This window comes from Homo sapiens, chromosome 1 (assembly GCF_000001405.40).
Source record: "Homo sapiens chromosome 1, GRCh38.p14 Primary Assembly".
Taxonomy (NCBI): domain Eukaryota; kingdom Metazoa; phylum Chordata; class Mammalia; order Primates; family Hominidae; genus Homo; species Homo sapiens.
Window position 1 is genome coordinate 93,498,681 of NC_000001.11, and position 27,500 is coordinate 93,526,180.

At 38.1% G+C, this 27,500-nt stretch overlaps 1 protein-coding gene and 1 non-coding gene across 4 annotated transcripts in view; one reads left to right on the forward strand and one right to left on the reverse strand.

The window, feature by feature from the left end:
- Positions 1-27,500, forward strand: part of FNBP1L (formin binding protein 1 like) — a 106,544-nt gene that overhangs the window by 50,563 nt on the left and 28,481 nt on the right. For all 3 annotated transcript variants that reach the window (NM_001164473.3, NM_001024948.3, NM_017737.5), the window contains exons 2-5: positions 788-903; positions 23,402-23,455; positions 24,664-24,811; positions 25,581-25,643. In NM_001164473.3, the coding sequence (NP_001157945.1) occupies positions 788-903; positions 23,402-23,455; positions 24,664-24,811; positions 25,581-25,643 (381 nt within the window). The remainder of the gene's footprint in view (positions 1-787; positions 904-23,401; positions 23,456-24,663; positions 24,812-25,580; positions 25,644-27,500) is intronic.
- On the reverse strand, positions 17,597-17,669 carry TRC-GCA7-1 (tRNA-Cys (anticodon GCA) 7-1). Its single transcript has one exon. It is a non-coding gene; the product is annotated as a tRNA-Cys (tRNA).

Below are 27,500 nucleotides of genomic sequence, written 5' to 3' on the forward strand. Positions count from 1 at the left end.
TTCTTAAAGCAAGGGAAATGATGGTTTCTGTGGCAGGAGGTGGCATCTTTGAGAACTGAAAGAGCCTTGTAGGACAGTGGTACTCTATTATATGTCATTATCATGTTTCCTGCATTGCAGAACATGTTTAATAACATCACCACAGTCCTATTTAGGTGGGTGATGGGACTTCCATTTTAAGATGGGAAAACATTCAAGGAGCCTTGTTAGCTTGCCCAGTTTCAAACATCTCGGAAATGGCAGATCCCAGAATTTGAACTCAGGTATGTTTGATTTTGTCCAGTTAAATAATTCTTCACTGAGTACCTGCTATGGTGCCAAGCATGGTGCTTAGGCTGTGGGGGTTCAGAGTTGAATGACACATGATTCTGGCCCTCAATATAGTATAGCAAATGAATAAGATAGTAATTTTAGGGAGGCTTGGGGACCTGGAGAAAGTCTGAGAGTTTAGGACCATTTTCTGGCAGACATAATGCCTGAACAGAATCTCAAAGGCCAGGATAGGGGGGATTTGGGGAAGAGTTGACTGCAAAAAGCTGATCAGGGGAGGGTGTTGCAACTGGGAGAGCCATGTTTGTAAAGACGTTCAGACATAAAGTAGCATGATTTATGCTTAGGGACGACCTATTTCTAGGTCTTAAAGGGTGAAGTGGGGGAGCTAGTAGAAGAGCCTGGGTTTTTCCTTTTATACCTCATTGCTTCTCTGTACAAATACCAGAAGCTGTTAAAAATATCTGTGGATAAAATTTTAGACTTTTGAAAATGCATTTTTATCTTCCTTTTCCAGGATCAGTTCGACAGCTTAGACAAGCATACACAATGGGGAATTGACTTCTTGGAAAGATATGCCAAATTTGTTAAAGAGAGGATAGAAATTGAACAGAACTATGCGAAACAATTGAGGTAAGTTAATTTTTTTTTCAGTTTTTAGAATGAAATTACATGTTTAAACAGTTGAATATTAGAGGAATGTGATAGTCCAGAGGTTAAATTCTATGTTTTTCATCAGAATTAGATTGAATTAGGTAACCGGTTTGTTTTAATGATTAATTAAGTCATTGGCTAGTACAGTACCACAAGGAATATTGACTAGCTGGATCACAAATAGCTTTCATTCCAGAAAGACACTTAAAAATCTGAAAACTGGGGAGCAAAATGCCGGGAAAAAGAAATATCTGCGTGTTATTCTGTGTTTTATACTTTTATTCCTCTCTAACTTTTTGCTTTAGTCATCTTTTCAAAGTATTGAATATTTCTTCAGAGTTTTTTTCTTCAGAGTTTGTAAGACTTGGAAATAGAGTGTGTGCTGAGCTGAGTTTCTTTCTGTCAGTATTCAGTTACATATTATGAATGAATGTGATTTTAGAATATGTTTTGGAAGATAAAAGTTTTAAAGAGAAAATTTTAGTCTTAAAACTAATGGACTTTGTTGACAAGTAGTTGCTGGAACTTATTCAGTAAAAATGGTGCTTGAAGTCTGAAGACTAGACACCAGTATAAAGTTTTAGCTGTAGGGTTTAGGATAAAAAAGTGTCCTGAAGTGACAAAAAATCCAACCTAAACAGGCATACATGACTACAAAGTCCAGGCATATTTTGATTCAGGGGTCAAATAATCTTCAGGCCCCATTTCTTGGCTGTGCTCCCTCTTGTTCTTTTTATTCTCAGGTTCCATTCATACCATCCTCCGTGTTCGTTTAGCTCTAGGTTTTACATCTTCATACCCCCATATCCTGGAGAAGAATGATGGTCTTCTCTATTGTACCTTTGGGGAGAAAGGAAGGGAGGGAAAGAGGAAGTGGGGGAATGGAAGAAGAGGAAGAGGGATGGAAGTAAGGGAAAATGCAAGCCTGCACCAAGCTTCTTTTCTCCAGAAATACTAGCAGAGGGTCTCCTTTAGTCATACTGACTTTGGTTAGGTTATGTGTTTATCCTAAACAATTTACTAATACTGACTTATAGCTAATGATGGGGGAAGGATAGTTACTTAAAATTAATTTAAACTAGTGGTCCCAGAAGGAAGGGGGAGTTACTTGAGTGCCTCATATATCCACATAATAGTGCATGTAACCAACTGACTGGATGTAGGGATGGAATAGACTAGAGTAATAAAAAGCTTGCTTATAATATTTTTATAATGATAAACACTATTATATTTACTGAATAATGGCATTATGCTAATTTCCTAATCCGTTTCCCTCCTGTTTGTTTAAACAAGGTATTTTCCACATGAGAGTATAAACAGGGAGCCTATTAGTATATTAATAATCACAGTGATGATGTTTCATCTGTCCAAAAGTTAATGATCTGGGAAACTTACCTCTCTAGAATCTAGGAGAGCATGAAATGGCCTCTGAGAGATTAAAATAGCAGCTACCAGATGTATTCTTGTGTGGCAAATAAAAATTCTATTTAAATTTTAATTTGATCTCAATTTTAGCACATTAAATTCTCAGATTTCTATTGGAAAATTCTCAGTTTTTCCAATAGAAATGAGAAAAAGTGCTATAGGTAATACAGTGATGGCAGTGTGAAGGGACAAACAATAAAGGAAAAGGTTTAAAAATTACAAAAATAGATGAAATTTACTGCAGGAGTGCCCTAGCTCATTTTATGTTGCCATAACAGAATGCCTAAGTCTGGGTAATTTATAAAGAAAAAAGGTTTATTTAACTAATGGTTGTACAGGCTGGTAAGTTCAAAGGCATGCCCCCGGCTTCTGGCACAGGGTTTTGATGTGTCAAAGGGGAAGCGTGGATGTATGAAGAGAGAAAGAAAACCTGAAGGGAAACTGACTTTTTAAAAACCCACTCTCAAAAAGTGATCCAGTCTTATTAGAGTGAGAACGCAACTCACTACCAAAAATGACACCAAACCACTATCCATGAGGGCGGATCCCTCATGACCCAGACACCTCCCATTAGGCCCTATCTCCCAACACCACCACTTTGGGAATCAAATTTCAACATGAGTTTTGGTTGGGGTCAAACAAACCATATCCAAACCATAGTGAGAAGTGAATCTACTTCTAGGGCCCCAAGAGAATCACTGTATTATACAGAGTGAAAAAGTAAATACTGGTAAGAATGATCCTGCACCTTCAAGAAAATAATCAGATTATTTTAAAGAAGGCAGAGAATATAACAGTGTTTCTCAAAATGTTTAAAAAGTCTAATCTGTCCTTTAATCTAGCATTTTCATTTCTAAACTTTCCTGCAGAAAAATACAAGTGAGCAAAGGTGTTTGCACAAAACTCTTCATTGCAGGAAAAAAAAAAAGTTTCTGGTTGTAAAAGTGCCTGTCAGTAGAAGAATGATGAAAAAGACTGTGGTAGATAAAGTTTTAAAAAAATCAGGTGTACCAGCATTTTAAAATTTAAAAGCCTTATTCATCAGGTTGAATGATGAATGTGCAGTAAGAACTGAATGTACAGTAACATGATTTTATTGCTTACTTGTGTTTGTATATACAGTTACATATAAAATTTGTATGTATTCTGAAGAGGTCTAGAAGAGTACACCCAGATTATGTTACAATGATTACCGTTGTGGAACCAGAGTAGGGAATGATAAGGGAAGGAACTTTTTATTTCATACACTTTTGAATTGTAGTCTTTTCAATGATTGTGTATTACTTTTGTAATTTAAAACACTTGTTAAGAAGAGGATATGCTTCAAAAGAGATTCCTATCACAAATTATAAAATAAAAATTGATAATTTATAAGATTAAAAAAAACTTCAGTAATGTGGAATATTTAACTGTCCAGGACAACTTAGACCTCAAAGCTTTTGAGATGGCCAGGGTTTTGCTAGTGTAACAGGACTCATCTAATCAAATGGCAGACTTGTTTGCCTTCTCTCTGTTCTGAGACTGATAATAACCATTAGAATTTTCACTTACTTGCAAAAAAGGGATTTGAGCTCCAGTTCATTGAAACAAGGGTGGCTAGAACCCACAACTTCATGATATGAAAAGTAGAATTTTGTATTGAGAAAGTGGGTTTTATTATGTACTGATGCTTTACAAAGGTGATTTGAAGGAATGAAGCACACTTAAGGAATTTGGCACATTTCCATTCTAAGGATGATTCTCAATAGCAGCGATTCTCAACAAGGGCAGAATTATTGGAGTGTTGAAGTATGAGGAGTAATGAAGAGTTGAGAGAAGGCATGTTTAATTTGAAATGATCTACATTGAGATTTGCTGCTTTGGATGACTACTTAGTAAATGATTGGATTATCAGCTGCTGTTTATAGTATGTCTTTTATCCAAAGGGAAGAGGTTTGCCTTGTTTGTTTCCTCCTCTTTAATGGGAAAAATTCTTTTGGTTAACTCCCCTTATTTTTGCTAGTGCAGAGGATAATTTCTTTCATAGTGAGGCAGCACTTTTTTTTTTCTCCTAAATAATATTATATTAGTCCATTCTCACGCTGCTAATAAAGACATACCTGAGACTGGGTAATTTATAAGGGAAAGAGGTTTAATTGACTCACAGTTCAGCATGGCTGGGGAGGCCTCAGTAAACTTATAATCATGGTGGAAGGAGAAGAATAAGTGCCAAGCGAAGGGGGAATCCCACTGTAAAACCATCAGATCTCGTGAGAACTAACTCACTGTTGTGAGAACAAGATGGGGGAAACCGCCCCCATGATTCAGTTATCTCCACCTGGTCCCTCCCATGACACATGGGGATTATGGGAACTGTAATTCAAGATGAGATTTGGGTAAGGACACAGCCAAATCATATCAACTATATTCCTGATGTTAAGCAATTACATTTTAAATATATTACAAGATTAAAATTTCTTAATCTTTGGTAATTCCAGATTGTTTTAATCTTTTCTCCCTTTACTCTTCTGTTGTTGTGTTTTGATGGTGTTGGTTTAACTTTATTCTGGTGTTTGATATTGATTTTTGGTTTTGGTTTGAGGATGGGAATAAATAGAAAATAAAGCATCTAATTACATTTGGAGACATAGTTATATGCAATTGAATCATGTCCATTTTGATTGATGGAAAATGGTTACTTCAGATCACTTGGTAGAGTGTTTTTTGTTTGCAAAGATATGCAACTGAAATCAGTCATTCTTTTAATAAACATTGTATTTGTATAACAGATTAAGATTTCTAAGTAAAAAAAGGAGCCATATATATGTGATAAGTTTGTATCATTTTAGTTTTTTCTAGTAAAAGTAATTGTATTAAGTTCTATCATAGAGATAGTGCTGTATGAAATTATATTCCCCAGCCTCCACCCCAGAGCATACATAAATTTTTGGTTCAGATGTGGCAGTATGGTATAGTGGAAGAGAATTAGGCTGGAAGACAGGAAGTGCACAAACTACTCTTATTTTGGCAAGCAGACATCTCTGAATTCCTTTGATCAGAGATTATATTATGTGCATTTCTCTACCCCATACCAAGCCTACCTGGTACCTCTGGAACTGGGTGATTAAATTTAAGTTGAATGAATAAATAATTAAATAATCTGTGTTTCAGTTTAGTTTAGAAATTAGGATTTCTGACCACATGCTGAACCTTTGACTACATAGCAGCTTTCTATTAATACTGGAGTTTGGTGTCGTGTACATCATTGTGATGTGGTCATTAAGTTGGTGTTGTGTACATCATTGTGTCTGCTAAGAACAGTCCTAAATATTTCGGGTAGGCTTAGATACAGAGCAATCCAAATATAGCTAGTCTGTAAGAAGTGCCTTTCACCTCCCGCCATGAGTCTGAAGCCTCCCCAGCCATGTGGAACTATAATTCCAATTAAACCTCTTTTTCCTCCCTGTCTCGGGTATGTCTTTATCAGCAGCGTGAAAACGAACTAATACATAGTCTCTATCTCATTTTACTTTTCTCATACCTCTTTATCAGAATTTGGTTTCTGTGTCACTCTTTTGTCCGGCTGAAAGATTTTGCATTCTCACCAGCAATACACAAAGCTTCCAGTTAGTCCACATCCTTGTTGTTTTGCAAGTAGCCACCCTAATCGGTGTGAGTTGTTATCTCCCTGTGGTTCTGACTTGCATTTCCCTGACCATTTGTGTATCTTTGGAGAAATGTCTATTCAAGTCAGTTTTTAAAATTGAGTTACTTGTTTTTTTGTTGTAGAGTTTTAGGAGTTCTTTGTATATTCTGGATATTAACCCCTTGCCAGATATATGATTTGCACATTCTTTCTCCCATTCTATAGGTTGCCTTTTCATTCTCTTGATTGTGTCCTTCTATGCATTGAAGTTTTAAATTTTGATGTAGTTTATCTATTTTTATTTTTTTTGCCTTTTTGTGTCATATCCAAGAAATCATTGCAAAATCCAGTATCACAAAGATTTTCTCCTATGTTTTCTTCTCAGTTTCATAGTTTTAGGTCTTTGATGCATCTTGAGTTAATATTTGTATGTGTTAAAAGGGTCCAGCTTCATTCTTTTTTTTTTTTTTTTTTGAGACAGAGTCTCACTCTTGTCGCCCAGCCTGGAGTGCAGTGGCGCGATCTTGGCTCACTGCAACTTCCGTCTCCTGGGTTCAAGCTGTTTGAAATGTTTGTTCCTCGGAGCCGTAAAGAAATAGCACTTGAACATAAATTTATTTAGTAAGGCCATTTTTACTTCCTGCAGAAAGGGTACACTCGTGCCACAAGAGTACACCGAACAAAGGAGACAGGGTCATTTATAACCTGAGGCATCCACCCTACTGCTGTGTCCAGTTTCCATTGGCTGGAACGGGACCTCACCCCGATTGGCTAGCAACTTAGAACTTTGTAAAAAGAGGCCAAGGTAGAGGGGAACAAAGGAAGGAGGAAGTAACTTGTGGAATGTTGAGAAAGGTAAAAACACTTTTAAATAAGGAAGAGGAACAGGCTATGACCTAATGCTTGCTTGGACCAGTATAAGCACGCTAGGGTAAATATTTAGGCTAAATTGTGGGAGCTAAGAGCATAAAGTAATGTTGATTTCCTTATTACGGCTAGCAGATATTTAAGAATGTTAGCACAGGTCTTTAAATAAATTTTGCTTCTAAGAGAAGCTACTATTTATTCCTAATTAGATGGGGAGGAAAGTCTTTGAAGAGGAACCTCTACTTTACTTTTTACAAAATGATTCTCCTGCCTCAGCCTCCTGAGTAGCTGGCACTACAGGCACCTGCCACCACGCCCAGCTAATTTTTGTATTTTTAGTAGAGACGGGGTTTTACCATATTGACCAGGCTGGTCTCGGACTCCTGACCTTGTGATCCACCCGTCTTGGCCTCCCAAAGTGCTGGGATTACAGGCGTGAGCCACCATGCCTGGCCCAGCTTCATTCTTTTGCAATGGATACCTTTTATGTTTAATTTTTTTACTATAAGAGAGAAGATTCGTGGCCGAAAGTGATGGAACTCCAGCTTGAGCTAATTTAAGTATAATGAGAAATTTATTTACAATATAAATTTATTGATTTATTGATTTTAATTTTTTATTGAGTTCAAGAAGTGGAATAGTCATACTGCTAGAAGGCTTGGTCTACAGCTAGGTCACAGAAAAAAATAAGGACAGTATCTGAAACACCGCCAAAGCCCTTTGTCTTTTCTTCTTCTTCTTCTTTTGGTGGGTTGGTGGCTTTATTCTTTTAGTGCAGACTGGCTTTCTCCATGTGGCAGGAAATACAGTCATCAACAGTGCCAGTTTTATGTCTTAGAGATTCAGCTCCCATACTGGCCTCAAAGCTGTGTCAGATCCAAAGTCTTACAACTTTCAGAAAGGGATCTCGTTGGCCCAGCTATTTTGTTTTCTATCGTTGGGTCACTTAACTGAGCCCACAAATTTGGGCCATATGTGTTAATCTGGCAGCTCTTAAGTAAGTTAAGAAAAGGGGTACTAGTCAGTGAGTCTCAGGTCTCTAATATTACCCTTTGCTGGAAGAAATGGTATGATTTATATTCCATTTTATAAATAGGATATTGATCACCTCTTAAACAGTGATTAGAACTCAGCCTCTCAAATATTGAAAGGTTGAAAATGTATAGAGGTGATTCTCAGTCTTTTAAGATTTTTGAGATAGTTCACATTCTGGCACTTAGCTGCAAAATGTTTTAATAGAAGTGAATTAATATTTTGAGAAAGTATTTGGAATATTTTGTAATTTTTACTGAAACTCAAAAGTAAATATAAACATGACAAAACTAGAATGGATAAAAAGATTAGAATCAACAACTTAAATATATATTAAAAAGGGTGATATATTTAATATCACATATATAACTAATATGTATAGACTACTATAATCTTTAGAGATGCCCACTAAATTTAGAAGCCTTCTCTGACAACTGAAGGAACAACATTAATTTCTTTTGTATCCAGAGTGCATGAAGCCAAAGTACATAGAAAAACATGGAACACACACACACACACACACACACACACACACACACACACACACACACACACTCTCTCTCTCTCTCTCTCTCTCTCTCTCTCTCTCTCTCTCTCTTTCTCTCCGTCCCTCCCTCCCCCACCCCCCCAAACAATGTATCAGCATATCTATGGAATCTATTATAATTTCTGTAATATGTACTGTGTGTATAAAACTTTGTGTTTCAGTTAGCTCCTGATTTATGACAACATACTAAAAACATGTCTTACACATAAACTGCTATCATAATTGGTGGAAAACCTGGATTTAGAGAGGGGTGAACAGAAAAAGAGCCTAGGGGAAGTAACATTAAGGGCAGATTTCTTAAACTAGATGAATTGTCTAAAATATTTTTAGTTTAGGAACAACCTGAATGCTTTGCACTTACCTATTAAAATTTATTTGAGCTAATAAGCATATTGTGTTAAAACTGCAAAGCAGGGATTTGCGGGACTTACTTAACCATTCATGCCTTTGTATGACTTTTTGTTGACTTTAGACTGTTTTTTCAGAAGGCCCAAATGAGATCAGCTGCTTCGGAAGAATAAATTCTTATTGTATATTTTTATTATTAGTTTTATTTATTTATTTATGAGACGGAGTTTCACGCTTTCTCCCAGGCTGGAGTGAAGTGGTGCGATCTTGGCTCAGTGCAACCTCCGCTGCCCAGGTTCAAGCGATTCTCCTGCCTCAGCCTCCCTAGTAGCGGGGATTATAGGTGTACACCACCGCATCTGGCTAATTTTTGTATTTTTAGTAGAGACGGAGTTTTGCCATGTTGGCCTGGCTGGTCTTGAACTCCTGACCTCAGGTGATCCACCTGCCTCGGCCTCCCAAAGTGCTAGGATTACAGGTGTGAGCCACCACCCCTGGCCTAGTTTTTTTTTTTTTTTTAAATTATGAAAGCATTATATGATCATTATAACATTTAAATTCAAGTCCCTTCCCAGTTCCTCTCCTGAGAAGTGAGTACTATTAATAATTTGGTGTGTTAGCCGGGGCGGTGGCTAACCCCCATAATCCCAGCATTTTGGGAGGTGGAGGCAGGTGGATCGCTTGAGTCCAGGAGTTTAAGACCAGCCTGGCCAACATGGTGAAACCCCATATCTATTAAAAAGACAAAAAAATTAGCCAGGCACGGTGACATGTGCCTGCAGTCCCAGCTACCTGGGAGGCTGAGGTGGGAGGATTGCTTGACCCAGGAGGTGGAGGTTTTAGTGAGCCAAGATTGTGCCACTGTACTCCAGCCTGGGTGACAGAGTGAGACCCTGTCTCAAAATAATAAATTGATGTGTCTTCTTTCAGAGCATATGTTTTCCTAGAAATTTGGATTTGGTGGAAAATGAGAAGAACTTTGTGGACAGTGCTGTAGTTTTTCAGGTTGCAGGGTTGGCTTGAATGGAGTCTTTAGTGACCTGTGTATGGCATCTGAGGGCTCAGGATATTGGGGTTTGGGATGAGTCACCTATAGATGTGTGAGTTTTACATACAGGGAGGCAAGAGGAATTTATTTTTAAAATTGCTTAGGACTACCCTGCATGTTCAAAATACAGTTATTTTCTTCCTCTTCCCCTTACCTCTTGTGTTACATGTGCTCTTCCTCCCAGAAGCTAGAGTTCAAATTAGTGTTATTTATGTGATGTTTAAGCTATTAAAGACTTCTATGGTTACCCTCTGTAGTACTCATAATTCTTCCAAGTATCAGAAGCCTAACTCAGATTGGTTTAAACAAAGAAAGGAATTTACTGGCTTATTTGAGGGAAAAATTTAGGGATCCAGGTACTTAGAGAAGTGTTTAGGATCTTTCTTCTTGGCTTTGCTTTTCTCTGTGTTGGTTTAATTTCCCAGTAGGCTCTTTTTCCGTGGCTTTAAGATTATGTCCTATCAATTTAACAGCTTCAGCAGAAAGAGAGCATGCCTTCCTAAGAATTACAACAGAAATTTTAGGATTGACTTTCATTGGCCTAGATTAATGGACCTGGATCAAATAAATACTCCTGGACCTTAATATGTGGTCACCGTGACCACAGGTTCATAGGCATGACAGTGGAGGAGCTGTATTTTAGGATATGTTAGGCTATACTAGAATGATAAATTCCAAATCCCAGGGACTAAACATAACTAAACATTTATTAACACTCTTAATCATGCAAAGTCAGCTACAAGTTCAGACAGTCCATGTGGTAACTCGAGGATCCATACTGTTCTTATCTTCATCTCATCATTCAACCTCCACAGTTGCTTCAGCAGAGAATGAGGGAGCCCAGAGGGTTGTACACAAGCTCTAAATGCTTCAGCCTGTACTTACACAGAGCTCATAGCCCCATGCAGAATTGGCCACGTCGTTCTACCAAACTGTTAGGGGGCTGGAAAGTGTGTGAAATAACATGGCTTTTTGATGAACAGAAATGCATTTCCACAAGCTGTTACAAAAGAAGGGTAGTGATACAGGTAGGTAAAACGTGTCCCCTACAGACTGGGACCCTAAACAATGTTTAAAATGTTGATATATAAAATGTAGTCAATCGGAGGAGCCAAGATGGCCGAATAGGAACAGCTCCGGTCTACAGCTCCCAGCGTGAGCGACGCAGAAGACAGGTGATTTCTGCATTTCCATCTGAGGTACCGGGTTCATCTCACTAGGGAGTGCCAGACAGTGGGCGCAGGTCAGTGGGTGCACGCACCGTGCACGAGCCCTGCTTGGGCGAGGCATTGCCTCACTCGGGAAGCGCAAGGGGTCAGGGAGTTCCCTTTCCTAGTCAAAGAAAGGGGAGACAGACGGCATCTGGAAAATTGGGTCACTCCTACCCGAATACTGCGCTTTTCCGACAGGCTTAAAAAATGGCGCACCAGGAGATTATATCCCGCACATGGCTCGGAGGGTCCTACGCCCACGGAGTCTTGCTGATTGCTAGCACAGCAGTCTGAGATCAAACTGCAAGGTGGCAGCCAGGCTGGGGGAGGGGCGCCCGCCATTGCCCAGGCTTGCTTAGGTAAACAAAGCAGCCAGGAAGCTCAAACTGGGTGGAGCCCACCACAGCTCAAGGAGGCCTGCCTGCCTCTGTAGGCTCCACCTCTGGGGGCAGGGCACAGACAAACAAAAAGCAGTAACCTCTGCAGACTTAAAAGTCCCTGTCTGACAGCTTTGAAGAGAACAGTGGTTCTCCCAGCACACAGCTGGAGATCTGAGAACGGGCAGACTGCCTCCTCAAGTGGGTCCCTGACCCCTGACCCCCAAGCAGCCTAACTGGGAGGCACCCCCCAGCAGGGGCAGACTGACACCTCACACGGCTGGGTACTCCAACAGACCTGCAGCTGAGGGTCCTGTCTGTTAGAAGGAAAACTAACAAACAGAAAGGACATCCACACCAAAAACCCATCTGTACATCACCATCATCAAAGACCAAAAGTAGATAAAACCACAAAGATGGGGAAAAAACAGAGCAGAAAAACTGGAAACTCTAAAAAGCAGAGCGCCTCTCCTCCTCCAAAGGAACACAGTTCCTCACCAGCAACGGAACAAAGCTGGACGGAGAATGACTTTGATGAGCTGAGAGAAGGCTTCAGATGATGAAATTACTCCAAGCTACAGGAGGACATTCAAACCAAAGGCAAAGAAGTTGAAAACTTTGAAAAAAATTTAGAAGAATGTATAACTAGAATAACCGGTACAGAGAAGTGCTTAAAGGAGCTGATGGAGCTGAAAACCAAGGCTCAAGAACTACGTGAAGAATGCAGAAGCCTCAGGAGCCGATGGGATCAACTGGAAGAAAGGGTATCAGCGATGGAAGATGAAATGAATGAAACGAAGCGAGAAGGGAAGTTTAGAGAAAATAGAATAAAAAGAAACGAACAAAGCCTCGAAGAAATATGGGACTATGTGAAAAGACCAAATCTATGTCTGATTGGTGTACCTGAAAGTGACGGGGAGAATGGAACCAAGTTGGAAAACACTCTGCAGGATATTATCCAGGAGAACTTCCCCAATCTAGCAAGGCAGGCCAACATTCAGATTCAGGAAATAAAGAGAATGCCACAAAGATACTTCTCGAGAAGAGCAACTCCAAGACATATAATTGTCAGATTCACCAAAGTTGAAATGAAGGAAAAAATGTTAAGGGCAGCCAGAGAGAAAGGTCGGGTTACCCTCAAAGGTAAGCCCATCAGACTAACAGCTGATCTCTCAGCAGAAACTCTACAAGCCAGAAGAGAGTGGGGGACAATATTCAACATTCTTAAAGAAAAGAATTTTCAACCCAGAATTTCATATCCAGCCAAACTAAGCTTCATAAGTGAAGGAGAAATAAAATCCTTTACAGACAAGCAAATGCTGAGAGATTTTGTCACCACCAGGCCTGCCCTAAAAGAGCTCCTGAAGGAAGCAATAAACATGGAAAGGAACAACCAGTACCAGCTGCTGCAAAATCATGCCAAAATGTAAAGAACATCAAGACTAGGAAGAAACTGCATCAACTAATGAGCAAAATAACCAGCTAACATCATAATGACAGGATCAAATTCACACATAACAATATTAACTTTAAATGTAAATGGACTAAATGCTCCAATTAAAAGACACAGACTGGCAAATTGGATAAAGAGTCAAGACCCGGCCGGGTGCGGTGGCTCACGCCTGTAATCCCAGCACTTTGGGAGGCCGAGGCGGGCGGATCACGAGGTCAGGAGATCGAGACCATCCCGGCTAAAACGGTGAAACCCCGTCTCTACTGAAAATACAAAAAATTAGCCGGGCGTAGTGGCGGGCGCCTGTAGTCCCAGCTACTTGGGAGGCTGAGGCAGGAGAATGGCGTGAACCCGGGAGGCGGAGCTTGCAGTGAGCCGAGATCCCGCCACTGCACTCCAGCCTGGGCGACAGAGCGAGACTCCGTCTCAAAAAAAAAAAAAAAAAAAAAAAGAGTCAAGACCCATCAGTGTGCTGTATTCAGGAAACCCATCTCATGTGCAGAGACACACATAGGCTCAAAATAAAAGGATGGAGGAAGATCTACCAAGCAAATGGAAAACAACAAAAGGCAGGGGTTGCAATCCTAGTCTCTGATAAGACAGACTTTAAACCAACAAAGATCAAAAGAGACAAAGAAGGCCATTACATAATGGTAATGGGATCAATTCAACAAGAAGAGCTAACTATCCTAAATATATATGCACCAAATACAGGAGCACCCAGATTCATAAAGCAAGTCCTGAGTGACCTACAAAGAGACTTAGACTCCCACACATTAATAATGGGAGACTTTAACACCCCACTGTCAACATTAGACAAATCAACGAGACAGAAAGTCAACAAGGATACCCAGGAATTGAACTCAGCTCTGCACCAAGCGGACCTAATAGACATCTACAGAACTCTCCACCCCAAATCAACAGAATATACAATTTTTTCAGCACCACACCACACCTATTCCAAAATTGACCACATACTTGGAAGTAAAGCTCTCCTCAGCAAATGTAAAAGAACAGAAATTATAGCAAACTATCTCTCAGACCACAGTGCAATCAAACTAGAACTCAGGATTAAGAATCTCACTCAAAACCGCTCAACTACATGGAAACTGAACAACCTGCTCCTGAATGACTACTGGGTACATAACGAAATGAAGGCAGAAATAAAGATGTTCTTTGAAACCAACGAGAACAAAGACACAACATACCAGAGTCTCTGGGACGCATTCAAAGCAGTGTGTAGAGGGAAATTTATAGCACTAAATGCCCACAAGAGAAAGCAGGAAAGATCCAAAATTGACACTCTAACATCACAATTAAAAGAACTAGAAAAGCAAGAGCAAACACATTCAAAAGCTAGCAGAAGGCAAGAAATAACTGAAATCAGAGCAGAACTGAAGGAAATAGAGACACAAAAAACCCTTCAAAAAATTAATGAATCCAGGAGCTGGTTTTTTGAAAGGATCAACAAAATTGACAAACCACTAGCAAGACTAATAAAAAAAGAGAGAAGAATCAAATAGACGCAATAAAAAATGATAAAGGGGATATCACCACTGATCCCACAGAAATACAAACGACCATCAGAGAACACTACAAATACCTCTACACAAATAAACTAGAAAATCTAGAAGAAATGGATAAATTCCTCGACACATACACTCTCCCAAGACTAAACCAGGAAGAAGTTGAATCTCTGAATAGACCAATAACAGGATCTGAAATTGTGGCAATAATCAATAGCTTACCAACCAAAAAGAGTCCAGGACCAGATGGATTCACAGCCGAATTCTACCAGAGGTACAAGGAGGAACTGGTCCCATTCCTTCTGAAACTATTCCAATCAATAGAAAAAGAGGGAATCCTCCCTAACTCATTTTATGAGGCCAGCATCATCCTGATACCAAAGCCGGGCAGAGACACAACCAGAAAAGAGAATTTTAGACCAATATCCTTGATGAACATTGATGCAAAAATCCTCAATAAAATACTGGCAAACCGAATCCAGCAGCACATCAAAAAGCTTATCCACCATGATCAAGTGGGCTTCATCCCTGGGATGCAAGGCTGGTTCAATATACGCAAATCAATAAATGTAATCCAGCATATAAACAGAACCAATGACAAAAACCACATGATTATCTCAATAGATGCAGAAAAGGCCTTTGACAAAATTCAAGAACCCTTCATGCTAAAAACTCTCAATAAATTAGATATTGATGGGACGTATTTCAAAATAATAAGAGCTATCTACAACAAACCCACAGCCAATATCATACTGAATGGGCAAAAACTGGAAGCATTCCCTTTGAAAACTGGCACAAGACAGGGATGCCCTCTCTCACCACTCCTTTTCAACATAGTGTTGGAAGTTCTGGCCAGGGCAATTAGGCAGGAGAAAGAAATAAAGGGTATTCAATTAGGAAAAGAGGAAGTCAAATTGTCCCTGTTTGCAGACGACATGATTGTATATCTAGAAAACCCCACTGTCTCAGCCCAAAATCTCCTTAAGCTGATAAGCAACTTCAGCAAAGTCTCAGGATACAAAATCAATGTACAAAAATCACAAGCATTCTTATACACCAACAACAGACAGAGAGCCAAATCATGAGTGAACTCCCATTCACAATTGCTTCAAAGGGAATAAAATACCTAGGAATCCAACTTAACAAGGGATGTGAAGGACCTCTTCAAGGAGAACTACAAACCACTGCTCAAGGAAATAAAAGAGGATACAAACAAATGGAAGAACATTCCATGCTCGTGGGTAGGAAGAATCAATATCGTGAAAATGGCCATACTGCCCAAGGTAATTTACAGATTCAATGCCATCCCCATCAAGCTACCAATGACTTTCTTCACAGAATTGGAAAAAACTACTTTAAAGTTCATATGGAACCAAAAAAGAGCCCACATTGCCAAGTCAATCCTAAGCCAAAAGAACAAAGCTGGAGGCATCACACTACCTGACTTCAAACTATACTACAAGGCTACAGTAACCAAAACAGCATGGTACTGGTACCAACACAGAGATGTAGATCAATGGAACAGAACAGAGCCCTCAGAAATAACGCCGCATGTCTACAGCTATCTGATCTTTGACAAACCTGAGAAAAACAAGCATTGGGGAAAGGATTCCCTATTTAATAAATGGTGCTGGGAAAACTGGCTAGCCATATGTAGAAAGCTGAAACTGGATCCCTTCCTTACACCTTATACAAAAATCAATTCAAGATGGATTAAAGACTTAAACGTTAGACCTAAAACCATAAAAACCCTAGAAGAAAACCTAGGCATTACCATTCAGGACATAGGCATGGGCAAGGACTTCATGTCTAAAACACCAAAAGCAATGGCAACAAAAGCCAGAATTGACAAATGGGATCGAATTAAAATAAAGAGCTTCTGCACAGCAAAAGAAACTACCATCAGAGTGAACAGGCAACCTACAAAATGGGAGAAAATTTTCGCAACCTACTCATCTGACAGAGGGCTAATATGCAGAATCTACAACGAACTCAAACAAATTTACAAGAAAAAAACAACCCCATCAAAAAGTGGGTGAAGGACATTAACAGACACTGCTCAAAAGAAGACATTTATGCAGCCAAAAAACACATGAAAAAATGCTCGCCATCACTGGCCATCAGAGAAATGCAAATCAAAACCACAATGACATACCATCTCACACCAGTTAGAATGGCAATCATTAAAAAGTCAGGAAACAACAGGTGCTGGAGAGGATGTGGAGAAATAGGAACACTTTTACACTGTTGGTGGGACTGTAAACTAGTTCAACCATTGTGGAAGTCAGTGTGGCGATTCCTCAGGGATCTAGAACTAGAAATACCATTTGACCCAGCCATCCCATTACTGGGTATATACCCAAAGGACTATAAATCATGCTGCTATAAAGACACATGCACACGTATATTTATTGCGGCATTATTCGCAATAGCAAAGACTTGGAACCAACCCAAATGTCCAATAATGATAGACTGGATTAAGAAAATGTGGCACATATACACCATGGAATACTATGTAGCCATAAAAAATGATGAGTTCATGTCCTTTGTAGGGACATGGATGAAATTGGAAATCATCATTCTCAGTAAACTATCGCAAGCACAAAAAACCAAACACCGCATATTCTCCCTCATAGGTGGGAATTGAACAATGAGAACACATGGACACAGGAAGGGGAACATCACACTCTGGGGACTGTTGTGGGGTGGGGGGAGGGGGAGGTATAGCATTGGGAGATATACGTAATGCTAGATGACGAGTTAGTGAGTGCAGCCCACCAGCATGGCACATGTATACATATGTAGCTAACTTGCACATTGTGCACATGTACCCTAAAACTTAAGGTATAATAATAATAATAAAAAGAGATTTTAAAAATTACCATAATAATTGACCTATTATCCTCTATGAGTCTCATCATCTGATAAAGATTTATTCTCAATTATATAAAAATCATCAGTTATTGTTAAATCAGAAACTCAGTATATGTAGACTCCTCCAGTCTCTTGGATTTACATATATAGTTTTAATTGTACAATATTATTGTAAAAGTTAATAGCCTTTCAGTGTATCTGATTTAAAATTACCACAGAGCATTGTGGGATTAAAGGAGTACTGTGTCAAGGGGGAAAAAAAAAAGTTTTCTCATCTTTTCTGTTGACACTGTGGCTGGCAGTATCTACTTTAAAATGGAAGTGAGAAAACATCCTGGAAGGGGGCACCCGGATTTGAACCGGGGACCTCTTGATCTGCAGTCAAATGCTCTACCACCTGAGCTATACCCCCTTTACCTGTTAAAAGCTCCCTCCTTGTCCACTTACGGTGACTCAATACATTCAAGTTCCACCCACAGGAGTTCTGGCAAGCTTTGTGTTCTAAAGCCCCACCTTCTTAATTGTCCATCATCTGCTTTGGCTTGTCCCTTGACCACTAATAAACTGAAAGGGAACACTTGAAAAATGACATCCTGGGCTGGGCACGATGGCTCACGCTTGTGATCCCAGCGCTTTGGGAGGCTAAGGTGAGGTCAGGAGTTTGAGATCGGCCTGACTGACATGGTGAAACCCCGTCTCCGCTAAAAATACAAAAAAAATTAGCTGGGCGTGGTGGTGGGCACCTGTAATCCCAGCTACTAGGGAGGCTGAGGCAGGAGAAAAAAAAAAAGTAGTCAATCTTTGAAACTACTCACTCTATGAAATGCTTTTTGCTTAAATTTGACTTGTTTAATGCAGTTCATGAGTTTGTGCTTCAAAACCATTGAACTTAAAAGTAATTTCTAGAAAACAACCCCATTTGTAGGTGGGAGACTGTGCCTGTCATAACCACACCGTTAAATCACCTGGTAATTGCTAAATTCCATGGATATTTTAGGTACCTGTTTTATTATCTTTGATGATAATAGACTGTTTCTGTCTTAGAACAACTTCTTCTTCACCCTGTTCTTCCTCTTCCTCCTCCTCTTTTCTTCTTTTCCTCTTCCTTTTTTTTTTTTTTGAGACAGAGCCTTGCTCTGTCGCCCAGGTTGGAGTGCAGTGGCACAATCTCAGCTCACTGCATGCAACCTCCGCTTTCCGGATTCAAGCAGTTCTCATACCTCACCCTCCCGAGTAGCTGAGACTACAGGAGTGCGCCACCATGCCTGGCTAATTTTTTTGTATTTTTGGTAGAGACAGGTTTTCAGCATGTTGGTCAGGCTGGTCTCAAACTCTGACCTCAAATGATCTGTCTGCCTTGGCCTCCCAAAATGTCTTAAGTGTCTTCTTTTTTTTCTTTTTTTTAAGAGACAGGGTCTCACTCTCTTTCCCAGGCTGGAGTGCAGTGGCAACGATCATAGCTCACTGCATCCTCGAACTCCTGGCCCCAAGGGATCCTCCCACTTTGGCCTCCCAAAGCACTGAGATTGCAGGCGTGAGACACCTCACCTGGCTTGTCTGAGAACATCTTTTAAAAAAATCCCTTCTCTTGGGTTTTCTGTTACCCATATGTCTACTCAATTTGGTTGTCTCAGCTTTGTTGTTGTAATGCAAAAGCAGCCATAGACAATACATGCATGAATGAGTGTAGTGCATTCCAATAAAATTTTGTTTTAAAAATAGGTAGTGGGACATAGTTTGTTTACCTGTAATCTTCCTAGCTTAGTTCATCCTTACTGTTCTTCTGAAGCAACTCTTCTTCCTTCCCTGTTAAATTTGTGTTTGTAGATGGTCTTTAGCTACCTTTCATTTCATACTTCTTCAGTAGCCTCATTCACATTCATTATTTTAACCATCTCTGGTGTTGGCATCAGATTTGAGGAAGGTTTTGGCTTTGTCACTTACTGGCTGTTTGACTGTGGGCAAGTCACTTAATGTGTCTGAGTCCTGTAAAGTCAGGCTAATAATATCTGCTTGCAGTTGTTGTAAGCATAAGATTATATATAAAGAGTTTAGCATTAAGATTGGCAAGTAATACATGGATGACAAATGGTAATGTCAAGTAATACATGTATGACAAATGGTAACTCCTTGTTTCTGTTATTGTCTTTACAAATGTTTACCCTCATATCTGCATCGTGATCCCAGAAGTTTCTTTAGAGTTCTAGTTTTTACTATATATCTCTACTGGGCATTTTTATTTAACTCTTCTATAGTGTCAGTTAAGAAGCATTCAGCTTCACGTAATAGAGTCATTTTATACAACAAATTTGGAAACGGCATTCTAGAGCTCAGTGATGAAGTTAGGGCATTTTCGTACATCTCTTGGTCTTTCCCCTTATGGTTTCAAGATATTACGGTAGCTTCCAGCAGCCTGTCCTCCCACATCTGTATACAAAACAATTTTATAAAGTAGTCACAAGACAGGGCTTCTCTTTGTGTATTTTTTCCTTTTTATTATAAAAATTATTGTTTTTAACAAAGTTAATTAGGAAATAGAATCTGTAGGGATTGAACATGTTAAGGTGGGAGAAAGTGTAGGATGATTGTCAAATTTTTGGCTTAAATGTCTAAATTCTAGATGGATGGTAGTGCCACTAATGTAAGAAAAGAGGTATGTAAAAGAAGATTAAAAAGTAGATAAATTTCATTTTAGACTTGTTGAATAGAGGTACCTGGGGCAGATGGACTGCCTATGCAACTGCCACTCCTCCTCCTATAGAAGCTTTATTGAGGTATAATTCATATGCCATAAGATTCATTTGCTAAAGTCTACACTTGAGTGTTCTTTTAGTGTATTTACAGAGTTGTGCAACCATAACCACAATTGAATTTTAGAATATTTTCATCATCCCAAAAAGAAAACCCTGTACCCATTAGCAGTCATTTCCTCCTCCTCCATGTGCTAGCAACTGTTATCTATTTTCTGTATCTGAATTTGCCTATTCTAGTGAATTATTCTGTTGATCATGTTTTCCCCTTCTTCCTTTTTGAGTTCTTTTGTAGAAAGGACTGTAGGTCATGCCCAATTACTAGTTTGCTAACCATGACTCGTCCCATTCTTTCTGTCAGTCTAGTATCTGAAATAATTAATTTATAGCAGATAGTAGCTTTGCTGATATTTGGGTGAATTAGTAAATCATTCATAACAGTGAGTTTTGTTAGTGTTTGGGTAACCAGGATTAATAACCACTGGTCAAGAGTATTTATTCAGAGTTCCTTCATATGACTTTAGAAGGGTCTCTGCTTCGTTCCCCTCTTACTTTTCACGTTACTACTTGCAATTCTCTAGCTCATATTTGATGTTCCAGCAACATTGAACCCACTTACAGTTCTTAAATGCTCTGTTTTTCCCCACTTCTTTGTCTTTGCTCATTAGATCTTCTCTAATGAGCAGAATCCTCCCCCAGGGGTTTCCAGTTGCCCAATTCCTGTTTATCTCTTTAGGCTTAGTCAGCAAATCAGAAATTTTAGCTTTTTACCCCTGGGGAACCCTCTTTACAGAGCCCTCTATTGTTCTTACCATATTATGTTATGTAAGAGTGTCTATATATTTGATTTCTCTAGACCAGAGATCTCTGAACTTTTTATTGCTCACCTGTAAAAAATGTTTGAGCATATGACTGCACAGTTTGTAAATTATGTACATGTATTAGTGTAGTGACATATTAAATATCAGCAAAACTTTGAAGGCCAAGGAGGATGACTCACACCTGTAATCCCAGTACTTTGGGAGGCCAAGGCAGGCGGATCACTTGAGGCCAGGAGTTTGAGACCAGCTTGGGCAACATAGTGAAACCCTGTCTCTTTAAAAAGTATATGTAAATATTATTAGTCAGGCATGATGGTGTGTGCCTGTAGTCCCAACTACTTGGTAGGCTGAGGCAGGAGGATCTTGCCCAGGAGTTTGAGGCTACAGTGAGCTATGGTTGCACCCTAGAGTGAGTGAAGTGCTAATGCTTTCATCTTGTCCCTAACTTTATAATCAGTGGCAACTATGGGTTTCTTGATGGTAGGAACTCAATACATGTTGATCTGAACTCTTTTCTCAGTGTCTTGCCTGTTCTTTTTCCACCCCTCACTGGGTGTTAGGTCTTCCTTTTCTTTGTGTATCTTTATCATAGCACTTACCATGCAGTATATTACAATTATTGGTATATACTTGTCTCCTTTCAATAGAGTATAAGTCTCCTGCTCATGGGTCCTCTTTTATTTATGATGCTCCTAGTAGTTTGCATGGTGCTTAGCACATAATAGACAATTTGTAGAATGAATAAATTGATTCAAGTGGCATTAATTGATACTAATCTGAGAATAATTAAGACAGTGATTCTTTTATAGTATTGAAAGATAGTATGGCCACTTACTTTAAAACTGCTTATAGTTTTAAGCAGTGCATCTCAAATTGTTTGCGATGATGGACCAGTTTTAGTTTCCAATCCATTGTGTACTGATGCTTTTGTAAACAATAAAAATTAAATACTAGAAACATGACATAAAAGAGACATAGAAAATATAGGCCCTAATTTTTAATTATTAGATTCAAAAGAAATACAATTATTCCCAACTTCTGTACTTATCTCATTGTAGATTATTACCAAAGAGTCTATGGACCCTTGCTGGACCCAGGTTGACCATACTTTGAGACTCAGGGTATAAAGCACTTTATATCATTTATTTCTCGTAACTGTATGGGGTAGGTACTGTTTGCACCATTTATAGGAAATGAGGGGACAGAGAAGTTAGGCAAATTGTCCAAGGTCACATAGGTACTACATAAAAGCCAGGATTCAGGTTGGGCATGGTGGCTCATCCCAGCACTTTGGGAGGCTGAGGCAGGTGGATCACCTGAGGTCAGGGGTCGAGACCAGCCTGGCCAATGTGGTGAAACCCTATCTCTACTAAAAATACAAAAATCAGCTGGGTGTGGTGGCATGCACCTGTAATCCCAGCTATTTAGGAGGCTGAGGCTGGAGAATCGCCTGAACCCCGGAGGCAGAGGTTTCAGTGGGCTGAGATCGCCCCACTGCACTCCAGCCTGGGCGACACAGTGAGACTCCATCTCAATAAACCAACCAACCAACCAACCAACCAACCAACCAACCAACAAACCAGCCAACCAGGATTCAAACAAAGGTAGTCCATTCTGGCTCCAAAGTCCATATGCTAGTCTCTTTCTGATTTTGAAAAGATGAAATAAGGTAGCATTCTACTATAAGAATGTTAAGAACAGACATGGATGAAGGCAAAAAACAGTTACAAGTCAGAATATAATTCATTTGTCTAGAAAAGAGAAGGGTAAGGAGTCACATAATGATTTGCATGTAAAAGTGGAGTTATGGAGATGGTGACAAACTGTTCTTTTATTCCTTGAGTCAGCATCTGCTTACATTTTACCTTAGTATTAAAGTCCTCAATTTGTGAAAAAAAAGCGATGGTATTTCTTTGAAATGTTTCTTTTTGCCCTGACTCAGTTTCACATACTGAGTGTAATTGTTCCTGAGGGGGATTGGTTCCCAGACCCATGAATACCAAAATCCAAAGATGCTCTCAGTCCCTCATATAAAATAGCATAACATTTGCCTATAACCTACCCACATCCTCCCCATACTTTAAATCATCTCTAGATTATTTAGAATGCCTAATACAGTGTAAATGCTATGTAAATACTTGTTAGGCTCTATTGGTTTTTTAATTTGTATTACTTTTTATAGCTCCATTGTTATTTACTTACTTGAATATTTTTGACCCGTCGTTGAATCTGTGGTTGTGGAACCCTGGAATACAGAGGGCCAATTGTACTTTGTTTCTTCTATTCTTCCTCTTAACTATTTTCTTATTTGATAGTAACATCAACCAAATTGTTGTGATTCCATTCATATGAAAATACAGAAATAACCTTTCTTTCTCCAGGTATCAGTATTTTAAGAACAAATTGTAAGTAATGATTACATATTATGATGCTAATGGAGTAGAGATCATATTGCTGTCTTAATTGTTTTATATCATAAAATTCATGATTGAATGAAATTGAAAACTTAGACTATTTCAATTGTAACAATAGTTGAAATTTTTAATAAACTTTAAAAAATCTTCTTCCTATAGAAATCTGGTTAAGAAGTACTGCCCCAAACGTTCATCCAAAGATGAAGAGCCACGGTAAATTACATACCTGTTCATTAATGCATATTAAAAAATTTAAAAATACTTATATTTTTATTATTTAGTAAGATATATTCTTAGCTTTTTATAAAGATTTTATAAAGTTTAATTTAAAAATTAATGTTTATGAAAGAAGGAACTACTGTTTATCTTTTATGAGGATAAATACTGTAGTGGGCTTGATCAACAGTTTTCTAGAATAGTCAGATACAGATTTTCAATTAAAATGTAGACTAGGACTCCACTTGAATGATTTAGTCTGCAGAAGAAAAGGATATTTTTCATACTTGGTTGTGTAGTTGTTGGCTTCGTAGATTCTTGCTTTTACTCTTATAGATAGTAAAACAATTTGACTGATTGGTATAAAGGGATGTTGAAAAGCACTGAGAGTTTTTGCATTAGAAATAAATTAAAAGGTTAGAAATCACTTATGAGTTTTTTTGTGGTCTTAAAGAGGAATATGTGGATGACTGTTTAGATGGAGAAACAAGAGGAGACTCGACTTAAACAAACAACTCTGTATATAATTGTCAGTTGTTAGGATTCTCAGGTTTAGTGTTAATGGAGTCCTATCTGAGCTGTTAATCTTCATCTGTAAGAGAGTGTTCCGCAGTATGTTCAAAGTAGATATATACATTAATACAGTGATTCTCTTTGTTTCTCTCCTTCCCTCACACACGTTTTTACCCTTATTTTTGACCCTTTACCCGCTTTGGTGTCAACTATAATGGCACTTCACTTCCATTCAGGATATGGGCAGGCATACAGGCAGCTGTGTCCAGAGCTGATAGCAAAATTGTTCTGTAGATCAGCCATCGAGATGCATTTGGCAAGCACATCATCTCTGCAACAGGTTCAGCTACCAAGCCTAGGAATCCAACCAAGTTCATTCCCAAGCTCAGGCCAGTCAGTTGGCAACTTAAGAGATTCCAGTATGCCAAAAGAGCCTGCAGGTAGTATTCTTATTATTTTTTGACCCCAAATATCCCTTTACTAATAAATGAAAGACTACTTGAAGATATACAAACATGTATGACTTGAGCTTAATGCAGGATTTTTTTCCATATGAAGTTAATTTAGAACTAGTAGCTGAGATTTAGGTTGAATATGCTAAAATTTGCGAAATGTTAGATTCAGTCCATACCTCACCAACATTTGTAATGAAAATAAAAGTAAGTCTCACCATTTTGAAATGTTTTTGCCAGGTTTACCTCGTGTGTAGCCTTTTTTAATATCCTTAATGAGTTAAATGACTATGCAGGACAGCGAGAAGTTGTAGCAGAAGAAATGGCGCACAGAGTGTATGGTGAATTAATGAGATATGCTCATGATCTGAAAACTGAAAGAAAAATGGTAATTCTTACAATTTTCATCCAATTGCAATAGTATATGAAATAGTCACACAGAAACACTTTGTTTTCTTTAAAATGTGTGTTCAGCATAAACTGGTTTTTCTATTTCACTACATTTCTTCTAGCTAAAAATTATCACAAAATACTCTTGCTAATTTATGATCCTTTTGGATTTAAGTTTGGCAAACTACAGCCTATGGGCCAGACCCAACCAACTGCTTGGTTTTGTTTGCTAGTTGCCACAGGCTAAGAATGATTTTTATATTTTTAGATGGTTGAAAAAAGAATAATATTTCATGACATTGACAATTATATGAAATTTTATTTTTAATGTCCATACATAAAATTTTATTGGAACAGACCCACATTCATTGACTTTTATATTGCCTGTGGCTGCTTTTGCATCACACTAGCAGAGTTGAGTGTCACAGAGACTGTGTGGCTTAAAAAGCCTGCAATATTTATCTGACCTTGTATAAAAAATGTTTGTCATCTACTATTCAAGACAATCATTATTTTTCTGGAAATTGTATCTGTTTTCAAGGTTATATGTAAAGTGTTAAGACAATATCCTATAAAATGCATTTTTAGGAAGTTTTGCATTACTTTCTTCCTAAGTCTTGGTAAAGTTATATAATTAGTACCTTGAAAAAAATAAAGTGAAAAGCCTTTTGGGGACTTTAGACTTTAGTGTTTAAATGTAATTATTTTTATTTGTTTTTGTTTTATTTTTTATTTTTATTTTTTTTGGCCGTGGTTATAATCTTCAGCATCTGCAAGAAGGACGAAAAGCTCAACAATATCTTGACATGTGCTGGAAACAGATGGATAATGTGAGTTATGACATTTTCATGGTTAACATAAAATCTTGTAGACTAGATTAGCCCTAAATACTTTTATGCTTCATATCTATTTGAGTTTAATGTTTCTCAGTGTATTATTAATAATTTGACATTGGTATTATTGTATAATAGTCAATAAAGTGTAAATGGAGGATGTGAGGTCATTTTGTCATTTTTCTTGTTGTCCTTTATAACTCTATACTTAAGAACTCTGTAATCTTCAATCATTGTGAACATTTAAGGAGATTCTTTTTTTTTTTTTTTTTTTTACTTTAAAGTAGTTACTATAAAGTATTAATAGAGGATAGAAGTAAGAGGGAAAAGGAGATATATCTTAGAAGACTATTTCCTGAGGACTGAGAATAATCAAGGTTCTTTTTCTACCTTTAACTTAACACTTGATGTCTCTTGACTTCATTTTTAGCATGTGAAAAATGAAGAGAGTGAACGAGATGATATGAAATGTTTCTTCCAGTTCAGTCATTGTATAATTTTGTAAATGCTCCTGATATTGGCCTGCTAATAGAAACCTTCCCATTGTAGGAAATAAAGTACTTTGTAGGGCAAAATTATAAAGGCATAATAATTATTTACTTAAAAATTTCCCCAAGGCACTTGCTCATGTGGTTTTTCTTAAATGCTCTCGTATATAATTTGTAAAACAAGATGTTCACGTAGAACACTGCAGTTGCCTTTACATAAAATGCTCTATAATCTGTGTCATGGGATTAGAGTCAAAAAAAAAAAAAAGCTCTATTAAATGATATTCTGTAGTATAAGATACTCTTTTTGGACCCTCAAGTTATCGAACAGTTTACTCTTTACTAGCATATTTCTCTGGTGGACACTGCGTATTCCTTGAAAATTATGCCGAAGGGAGTTTTTCCATGTTAAATTAATCAGTTTAGCCTGTGCTTGTTAGAAAAAGTACTTTGAGATTAAAAATCTCATGTATATACTTCCATTGCTTTCAGCCTGTTTTCTTTCCCTTTTAAAAATGCATTTTCAAAACTTTGATTACATTTCTACTATGTAACTACCATTGATGTGATATTCTAATCACCAGTGCTGATTGAGAGTTCTTAGGTATATTAATAATGTTTTCATTTTCATTTTGATTTTCTAATTGGTTTCAGCAAGACTTCACCAAGTATTTATGTTGATTAAGTTTTAAATTGCCTTAACTATCATCCTTAGTATCTGCCACCTAATGAGTGTGTGTGTGTTTTCATTTGCACAAAATAACATACTCCTACATTCATGAGTCATTGGTTCCTTTAAAAATTGGTGTTGGCACAAATTATTCTTAATAGGTGCCAACTTGCCTTTAGAACAATTGACCGTTGTTAAGCAAAAGTTTTAGAGGTCATAAGAAAGAAAGAAGCATCAAAAATGTAGGAGAGATTTCTTTAAGGCATTAACAATGCTATAAAAAAAGGTGAGTTCAGCTCTACTTGTGTTTATTGAAAAGTATCCTTGACATGTACTCTGGAGGTACAAAAGTAAGTATGACATGGTTCTTGTTTTTGTAGCACTTGCAGTCTAGTGAGGGAAACTAACCAATATAATTTCTGTTTAATATGTAGAAACAAGTGTAGGATTCTATTTCCTAGTTCCATGTCTTCCTCTTTAGTCAAGAAAATGAAATTGTAGAATTCCTAACACGTTTGAAATAATTGCGAGGTGATGTAAAGAACTGGTGGACAGGTTGAATTAGTGACAGGGTATTAAAAATTGAGGAAAAAAATTAAAAGACAGTTATTAACCTTGGGATGAATAAAGTAGGCAGTACTGGCATTTAAGATCAGGACAGAAGAGCCTGTAAAGGAGGTATTAAAGGAATGGTCA